This window comes from Homo sapiens, chromosome X (assembly GCF_000001405.40).
Source record: "Homo sapiens chromosome X, GRCh38.p14 Primary Assembly".
NCBI lineage: Eukaryota > Metazoa > Chordata > Mammalia > Primates > Hominidae > Homo > Homo sapiens.
In genome coordinates this window covers 70,141,906-70,151,806 of record NC_000023.11, presented here as the reverse complement: position 1 = coordinate 70,151,806, position 9,901 = coordinate 70,141,906, and the positions used below count along the sequence as shown (strand labels likewise).

Here is a 9,901-nt window from a genome sequence, read left to right as displayed (position 1 = left end):
TCCCAGGCTCACATGATCCTACCACCTCAGCCTCCCGAGAAGATGGGACTACAGGTGCATACCACTACGCTCGGCTGGTTTTTGTATTTTTGGTAGCGACGGGGTTTCGCCATATTGCTCAGGCTGGTCTCGAATTCCTGAGCTCAAGCAATCCGCCTGCCTCGGCCTCCCAAAGTGCTGGGACTACAGGTGTGAGCCACTGTGCCTAGCGCATCTTATTTATTTTTATTTTTTTTCTTTTTGTTTTCACCTATTTGTCCCAGAGCACTTTCTCATCTTGAAATGAGAATAAGAATGTCTGCTTCATGAAGTTGTTAAGAGGATCAAATGAAGCTGAGCGCGGTGGCTGATGCCTGTAATCCCAATGCTTTGGGAGGCTGAGGCAGAAGGATTGCTTGAGCCCAGGAGTTTGAGACCAGCTTGGAAAACACAGTGAGACCCTGTCTCTATTTTTCCTTTTTGAAAAGGATCAAATGGGATAATATATGAGATAAGGAAACTGAAGCTCAGAGGGACTAAGATATTCCATCTATTAAGTGATAGGAGGGCCAGGCGCGGTGGTTCACGCCTGTAATCCCAGCACTTTGGGAGGCCGAGGTGGGCCGATCACCTGAGGTCAGGAGTTCGAGACCAGCCTGGCCAACATGGTGAAACCCCATCTCTACTAAAAATACAAAAATTAGCCAGGCGTGGTGGCAGGCGCCTGTATTCCCAGCTACTCGGGAGGCTGAGGCAGGAGAACTGCTTGAACCCGGGAGGCATAGGTTGCAGTGAGCCAAGATCGCGCCATTGCACTCCAGCCTGGAGGGCAAGAGCGAGACTTCGTCTCAAAAAAAAAAAAAAAAAGTGACAGGAGTTGGACTGTTCACCCAGGTCTGTCCATACTTTTTCGGTTATACCCTATTGCTTCCACCTTTTTGGTGGCCACCCTCTTCATCTTCCCCTTCCAAAGACAATTCCAAGTACCCACTATGATCCAATTACCAAGTTGGGCACTAAAGGTACAGTAAGTCAAAGTCCCTGCCCTCAATGAATTCCAAGTATCATTTCCTCCTTCTAAGTGTTGACTGCCCTTCAGCTTACACCTGCTTTTGGTGACTTGCCAGTACCTTCAGGTAGTTGGTTTTTAAAATATTTTGTTCAGTTTGTAATTGTTATCCTGTATGAGGGGCTGGCCTGATACAACCTACTCTGCCATTACCAGATGCGGAACTGCTATCCATAGATTGAGTTTTCTACACAGCTGCTCTGTTTTTATGTCATGACATTTGGAGAGATTTACAAACTATGCTATCACTGACCCCATCCTCCCATAACCATTTGCTATTTAATAATAAACATAGTACTGTCTAGAATCTTTCTATTACTCAGAATCTTTGTCCCCACTATTTCTGTTCCTAAAGGGCAACTATACTTGGTAAGAACTTAATTGCCAGGGAGTAAAAGACCAGTGGTACAACTATTTCCCTCCTACCCCGTCATACCTGGTGCTGCCTTGGCTATTCCCTGATCCGGTAATGCTCCATATTTCCGATGTTGCTCATACCAGTCACTCACCGTCATAGTTGGCAGACTTGGATAACCAGCTCCAAATACTCTGCAAAAATTACGCTGCATTTAGAAAACAAAAAAACAAAAAAACAAAAATAACAAAAAAAACCCAGTACTACAAAAAGTCTCTCTAACAACAAAGTCTGTGTCCGTTTCAGCCTTGTTCCCTACCCAGTCAACTTCTGAGGAGTTGTACAAACTCATGGGAGGATATGTAAAAAGGGGCATCCAGAAAGGGGCATTAAAGTCAAGAGCTTTCATGAGAAGATAAATAGCCCAGGATCATCTCCCATTAAGCAATCCCAGAGGGCAATGCTCCACAAAGCAGTGAAGACACCGTGGAATGGGTATTTATAGTTGGTGACTCTGAAAGGTACAGAAAACAAGGAGACTCCCGCCACCCTAGGGAAACATATCTCAAGAACTCAGAATTAAATCATAGGGAGGCAAATATGTCCTTTTGAGAATCGTAGCTGAAGGCAGGAAGAGTGCCAATAATGTAATAATAAAAAAAAACTTTAAAGTATACAATTCTCCATTCAATTATTTTCCTTTTTTGTTTTATTTGCTTGTTTACATGTGTGCTTTTTTTTTTTTTTTTTGAGATGGAGTCTTGCTCTGTCGACCAGGCTGGAGGGTAGTGGGGTGATCTCAGCTCATTGTAACCTCCACCTCCTGGGTTCATGCAATTCTCCTGCCTCAGCCTCCCGAGTAGCTGGGATTACAGGTGCCTGCCAATACGCCTGGCTTATTTTCCTACTTTTAGTAGAGACGGGGTTTTGCCATGTTGGTCAGGCTGGTCTCGAACTCCTGACCTCAGGTGATCCACCTGCCTCGACCTCCCAAAGGGCTGGGATTACAGGCGTGAGCCACCACGCCTGGCCCATGTGTGCCTATTTTTAAGCTTGAGTTTGTGAAGGAAGTGTCTGAGGAACACAGACATGGAGAAAGTTTCAGGAAAGATAATATCCCTTAGATAAAAGAACAACTTCCGTAAGTGAGATCATGACTTTTTTTTTTTTTTTTTGAGACGGAGTCTCGCTCTTGTTGCCCAGGCTGGAGTGCAATGGCGCGATCTCGGCTCACCACAACCTCCCCCTCCCAGGTTCAAGTGATTCTCCTGCCTCAGCCTCCCCAGTAGCCGGGATTACAGGCATGTGCCATCATGTCCGGCTAATTTTGTATTTTTAGTAGAGACAGGGTTTCTCCATGTTGGTCAGGCTGGTCTCGAACTCCCGACCTCAGGTGATCCACCCACCTCAGCCTCCCAAAGTGCTGGGATTACAGGCACGAGCCACCTCGCCCACCCAAGATCATGACTTTTCAACACCACTCAGTCTGTGGGTCACTAATGAATTGCCACATTGAACCATAAAAGCAGAGGGCTGCAAAGCAAACTTTCTAGTACTACCTACTTGGCTTGAGCCATGTTCCGAGTGAGAATGAAGGGTTTCACTGGAGGCCTCTCCTGGCGAGATGAGTTAGAAGTTGATGCCTAAGAAGGAAATTAATTATGAGAGGTGAATTTGCCATTTTACCCAACATACCATACGGGCTCTTAAGTCTTCAGGTGCTTGAAAAGCTCTGGATTCAAAATTCACTCACTTTCTATTTATCAGTCTCTAAGATATAGCAGCAGAACACTAACGGTAGAGATTCCTTAGCTCTCCTGAGGGGGCCTGAGTACCTTGCAAAAAAGAAAGAAAGAGAAAGTTCTCCCAGGAATCATGTCACTAGAAGTAAAAAATTACTCGGCTTTAAAATACCCTGTCCAAAGAAGGAGATTCCAAAGCCCTCTTCCATGTTCCATCTAAATCCCTTGAGCTGAACTTGAAGCCCCTTTCTTCAGCCTGGCCTTCAGTTAAAAAGTTGAATCACTACGACCCTTCTAAAACCTCTTCCAATGTACTTATGCACTTAATTGTCAAGAACTTCTACGGTGCTTTAGAAGTCAATGTTCCCAAAGGAAAGGGAGAAGGATTGGTTAGTAGTTTCCATATAGACGTATATAGAAAAGTTTCAAGGAACCTTGGCTTTCTAGGGGCATGCTGAAACAAAGGATGGTTAAAGAAAAGGTGCTCACTTAGTTCTAGCTCGATCACTTTCAGAACCAATTCCAATACCACATGAAAGCACATTAAAACAACAACAACACAACGATTACAACAAACAAACAAATGAACAAGAAAAAACAAAAAACTCACACACAAAGAAAGGGACAGGGCAGGACCCAGAAAAGTCCAGCCTCAAAATGCTTGAAAAGCACTCATCTAGACATGCTCAAGGGGCCTTATAACCTTAGAATATTAATTGTTCATTCTTTGATCTCTTAACATGAAGAACTAGGTTGATGTTATCCTGAGGCAAGAGCTCCTGGGCTAATTAGTACAAATCAAATTAGGAAGAGGTTTCTCTGAGGACTTAAATAAATGCCTGTGACTTGCTGATAAATTCAACCCAATTCATGTTGTGTCCTGAACCAAAGAACAAGTGGCAGCAGAGCCTATTCTTTTGAAGCAGCAGCTCCAAAACAGGGTTATGATGTTCAAAGATAGCCAAAGCTGTTACACCAGGTTTCTTTACCAGTTTACTGGACATTCTGTGCATGGAAATGCCCTTGCTGTGTCTCCTACGTGGGTAATCTAAAGGTGTGACAGTGCATCATTGTGGCAAGGTTAAATTCTAATTCCTCCTCCAACCTAAGCATATCCCCCTGGTCTTTTATTTCACTCTTCCTACTCTTTTCTCCCTCTCCTCCAGTTCTACCTTTCTTCTCCATTCCCATCCTCTTCCTCTCTTCCCCTTCATTATAGTCAGCACAATTTTTTTTTTTGAGATGGAGTCTCATTCTGTCACCCAGGCTGGAGTGCAGTGGCATGATCTCAGCTCACTGCAACCTCTGCCTCCCAGGTTCAAGCAATTCTCCTGCCTCAGCCTCCCGAGTAGCTGGGATCACAGACGCGCACCACCACACCCGGCTATTTTTAGTAGAGGGGGTTTCGCCATGTTGGCCAGGCTGGTCTCAAACTCCGGGCCTCAAGTGATCTACCCGCCTCGGCATTCCAAAGTGCTGGGATTACAGGCATGAGCCACCGTGGTGGCCAGTTAGCACAGATTTTAAAGGTTTAACTCCCTATGCCTTCCCTCAGCAGCCACAGCTTTCCACAACCAAAACCAATTTTTATTTCAGAGACATTTCTGTCCCCCATGGTATACCACAAAATTACAAATGACTACAAGTGTGTTACAGATTAAAAAGCACTGGGGAACACATTAAATTAAAGAGAAAGCTACCTTAGTGACCCTTCGGCCTTTCTATACTCATCTTGATAAAAACAGTGATTTTATGGAGACTTAAAAGGATCTTAATTTGATCTCCTGTAGAATACTCAAATCTCTGGCAGTAGATTTCTCTGGCCAGGCTTACCTCTCTTGAAGAGTCTCTTTCTCTCAGGATCTTTATTTCCTGGTCAATGCTCTCAATCTCTTCTAAGCTGATATCAATCCACCTCTGAAGGTGAAGAAGATAATATTCACGAACACGCTCATCATCTGCTTGACCACTTTCCACAGCAGATTTCATTGCAGACAACCTATGCTCCAACTCCTTCTTCTGCTTGTATCTGTTCCACAGAAAAGCATTACCCATGAACTTACAAATGAAGAGGTATTCCTTCAAAAGAAGGCCTCAATAAGATTTTACCTTTGCAAATGATAGGGTAGTAAGCATACCAATTTCCACCTTGGCAGGGATATAGATTCTATACCCCAGAATTAGCCACCAGGCAGTTCCCTCAGATGACAAGTTAGGGCCCAGCAGGGGCTGAGGAGTACCTTCTGAAGCCAGAAAAATACAGAAGTAACCGGATCTCAGCAAGTCCTTTAGGGAAGATGAGTACCTTAGTCATTTGATTATACTGGCCTTTACTAGGGTGGGTGCTTAGTATCGCAACACAGTGCTTCCTGTGATGCTTCCATTTTGGGAACTACACCTTCAAAAAAATCATAGAATCTTAGGGGTCATTTACCTGCCACTGATGCAGGAATGCCTTGTGAAACAGCCTAAAAAATGATCAACTCTTTTTTTCTTCTGGGCAAAACTTTCGCAGCTCTTCTGGCTCATCCTTTTATCATCTGAAGACTCATAACCACCCTGGCTGCCTTTCTTTTTCAGGATGCATTCTAGTATGTCATCTGACAAATGTCTACTGAGTACCTATTGTGTGACAGGCACCATTCTCAGTGCTGGAGACACAGCAGCATATAAAAGTCCTTGGTCTCATGAAGCATTCATTCCAGTGGGAGTAGACAAAAAGAAATAGATGAGTTAGGTCGTGATAAGTGCTATGAAAGAGCAAAAAGTAAGGTCAAATGCATACAGTGATGGTGGAAAAGTAGCGGTGCTATTATATACAAGGTAGTCAGAAGAGAACTCTCTGAAGAGATGACAGTGAACAAAGACTTCAGGAAAATAACTAAGCCAATATCTAGAAGAGTATGCTAAGGAATAAAAGCAAATACGAGGGCTGTGAGGTGGGAGCGTGCCTGGCCTGACATGGCTGAGAAATAACAAGGTGGCCAGTATGGCTGAGATAAAAAAGAGTGATAGAAAATGAGGTCAGACATAGCCAGGGCCATAATGTGTAGAACCTGGTAGGTCACAATAACCAAATATCAAATATCATGGTATTTTGAATGGGAAAGCCACTGGAGGCTTTTGAATACATGACATGAATAGAGTGACATAAAAACACTTTTAAAAATATGGGCCACTCTGGCTGTTGTGTGGAGTATGGGCTGTGGGGGCTATGAGGCAAGGATATAAGCAGGGAAAGCAACTAAGAGGATACTGCCACAATCCAAGTGAGAGATGGTGACCTGAAATAGGAAGGTAGTGATGGAGATAGTGGGATGTGGGTATATTTAAAATATAAAATAGATAGGATTTGTTGATTTATTGGATGTAAGAGCCTGAAGGAAAGAGAGAAGTCAAGGAAAAACATCAAGATTTCCAAGAGACGTATCTTGAAATATCTCTGCTTGAAATCCCACTTTAGACTCTCCAGAATCAGATGTTCCTCAGTAGGTCTTCACCCAAATCAGGGGGTCTTAAGCTGAAGTCCACAGAGAGTTCAGTGTGGTGGGGGTGGTCCTTGAACTCCCACAAATTTTATACAGAACTCTACCTGTATGCTTTCTTTTTCTTTCTTCTTTTTTTTTTTGGCTGAGAAATTTTTATAGATTTTATCAAATTGTCAAAGGGGCAAGGGGTCCATGACCCATGAAAAGTCAAGAACCGGCCGGGCACAGTGGCTCAGCCCTGTAATCCCAGGACTTTGGGAGGCTGAGGTGGGTGCATCATGAGGTCAGGAGATCAAGACCACCCTGGCCAACATGGTGAAACCCCATCTCTACTAAAAATACAAAAATTAGCTGGATGTGGTGGCAGGCGCCTGTAATTCCAGCTACTCAGGAGGCTGAGGCAGGAAAATCGCTTGAACCAGGGAGTGAGAGGTTGCAGTGAGCCGAGATCGTGCCACTGCATTCCAGCCTGGCAACAGAGTGAGACTCCATCTCAAAAAAAAAAAAAAAAAAAAAAAAAAAAGTCAAGAACCACTGTTCTGAAAAGGCTATTATAAAAATGTTTAGGCTCTTCTGTTCCTTTTACCTAACAAGTGGACATTTACTATAATGTTACGAATAACTGACACATCATCATCCTAAGAAGCTTTTTGAGTAAAACACTACAAAGAACTACAATTCCTAGTTCATGAATGCTATCAGAGATATTACTTGAGAATGTTTAACTCCAATCTCACTCCTATCCCCAACCCTCTTTCCTGGATGTACCTAAGTCACGGGAAAAAAATAACATACGAGGACCTTAGGGTGATATAATTCAGGGTAAATTCAGGGTTAGTCTAGTAGTCCTCTGAATAAGGTTCTTTTGTTTCTTTTCCCATTCTCTGCATGCTTAAGGCCTAACTACTGCACTCTGCTCCTTCCTTTTCTTCTACTTCCTAGCTTCTATGACTTTGCTCATCATCTTTGTTTGTTTGTTTGTTTTTGAGATAGAGTCTTGTTCTGTCACCCAGGCTGGAGTGCAGCCGCACAATTTCAGCTCACTGCAACCTCCACCTCCTGGGTTCAAGTGATTCTCCTGCCTCAGCCTCCCAAGTAGCTGGGATTATAGGTGTGCACCACCACACCCAGCTAATTTTTGTATTTTTAGTAGAGATGGGGTTTTGCCATGTTGGCCAGGCTGGTCTTGAACTCCTGACGTCAGATGATCTGCCTGCCTTAGCCTCTCAAAGTGCGTTCCAGGCGTGAGCCACCGCGCCCAGCCTGCTCATCATCTTTTAAACTTCTAACTCAACACTTGTTCATTTGGGCCAGTGTTTTTAAAACTGTTTTAGTAAAAGAACCTTTTCTTCTAATGAGAGATGCCACGGAACTCCCATAATTAATAAACAAGTAAAATTTACCTTGGTTAAATCAGGAGGGCTGTCAACACCCGCCCCCCCAACCCCCAGGCATTGCAGTGAAATTTTAGGGCTCCAAGGAACATATGGAAAACTACTGTCTTAGACCTTCATCACTGTTATGGATTCTCCATGGTGGGCCATTACATGGAAATACTCCCTGTTACCCTAGAATCCCCTATCCTTGTAACCCTTCTGACCCTGGGCAACTTCCATTTCCTTTCTCTGTTCCCAAGCTGTTGAAGAGAGTTAAGGAATTAGAAACTTGTATCAAATGGGTCAACTACAAATCACTATTGTCAAACTTTGGCTGAGTGGTCACCCTTGCTCAGCCATCCTTTCGTTCATCTTTTGTGAAGACTATTATCACCATCACACTCACCAGATGGCCAGCCAATGTAGAATTCAATTTCCCTCTTCACCATAAAATCTCTGTAACTGGCCGGGAATGGTGGCTCACGCCTGTAATCCCAGCACTTTGGGAGGCCGAGGCAGGCGGATTGCCTGAGGTCGGGAGTTCGAGACCGGCCTAACAAGGAAAAACTCCATCTCGGCCGGGCGCAGTGGCTCACGCCTGTAATCCCAGCACTTTGGGAGGCTGAGGTGGGTGGATCACAAGGTCAGGAGATCGAGACCATCCTGGCTAACACGGTGAAACCCCACCTCTACTGAAAGTACAAAAAATTAGCCGGGTTTGGTGGTGGGCGCCTGTAGTCCCAGCTACTCGGAGGCTGAGGCAGGAGAATGGCTTGAACCCGGGAGGCGGAGCTTGCAGTGAGCCGAGGTCGCGCCACGGCACTCCAGCCTGGGCAACAAGAGTGAAACTCTGTCTCACAAAAAAAAAAAAAAAAAAAAAACAACTCGATAACTTCACTCTTCCTCTTTTACTGTTGTCTTTAAGGAGCTGATTCTGTCTCTACCAAGCCATTTCCAAGGTAATATCTTTGTGTTTTTTTTGTTTTGGTCTCACTTCGTTGCGCAGGCTGGAGTGCAGTGGTGTGATGACAGCTCACTTTGGCCTCTAGCTCCTGGGCTCAAGTGATCCTCTCACCTCAGCCTCCCGAGTAGCTAAGACTACAGGCACACATCACCATGCCCAGCTAATTTTTAATTTTTTTGTAGAGACGGGGGTCTCACTACGTTGCCCAGGCTGATCTTGAACTCCTGCCTCAAATGACCCTCCTGCCTCAGCCTCCCAAAGTGCTGCGATTAAAGGCACAAGCCACTGTGCCCAACCAAAGGTAATGTCTTTACCACTCCACTTTTGTTATCAATCTAGTACCCCCCACACATTCTTCCGGGCCTCACTCTATTTATTGATCATCCTCCTGGTCATTAGCAGCTAGTTTTTCACTCTACTGGTGCCTTTCCCCTGTCTTAGAAACACTTTCCCTCAACTCATTTTTCTACCCTTTCAAATGATCACTCTTCTCTTTATTTTTGAGACAGGGTCTCTACTCTGTCACCCAGGCTTGAGTACAGTGGTGTGATCACAGCTCACTGCAGCCTCAACCTCTCAGACTCAAGCCATCCTCCAACCTCAGCCTCCTGAGTGGCTGGGACTACAGGTGTGCACCACCACCCAGCTAATTTTTGTATTTCTTGTAGAGACAGGGTTTCACCATATTGCCCAGGCTGGTCTCGAACTTCTAGACTCAAACAATCTGCCCGCCTTGTCCTCCCAAAGTGCTGGGATTGCAGGAATGAGCCACCACACCTGGCCTACTCTTCTCTTTTCTGTGCTACAGTGGGAATGATACTAGAACTGGGAATTTGAAGACCTGGGTTTAAATCCTAACCTAGCCACTTACTAGCTATGTAACTTTGGGCAATTCAATTCTCAGAGCCCCCCCCCTTTTTTTTAATCT

General features: G+C 44.6%; 1 protein-coding gene across 6 annotated transcripts in view; it reads right to left on the bottom strand.

Moving 5' to 3' along the window:
• Positions 1-9,901, bottom strand: part of IGBP1 (immunoglobulin binding protein 1) — a 32,878-nt gene that overhangs the window by 14,518 nt on the left and 8,459 nt on the right. For 4 of the 6 annotated variants that reach the window (NR_199784.1, NM_001551.3, NM_001370192.1 and 1 more), the window contains 3 exons: positions 4,979-5,174; positions 2,967-3,046; positions 1,485-1,597 (listed from right to left, as the gene is read on the bottom strand). Coding sequence is in view for 4 of the 6 variants with exons in the window: in NM_001551.3 (NP_001542.1) it covers positions 1,485-1,597; positions 2,967-3,046; positions 4,979-5,174 (389 nt within the window). In the remaining 2 variants the exon portion in view is untranslated. The remainder of the gene's footprint in view (positions 1-1,484; positions 1,598-2,966; positions 3,047-4,978; positions 5,175-9,901) is intronic. The other 2 variants (NR_199785.1, NM_001370194.1) reach the window with 2 other exon arrangements.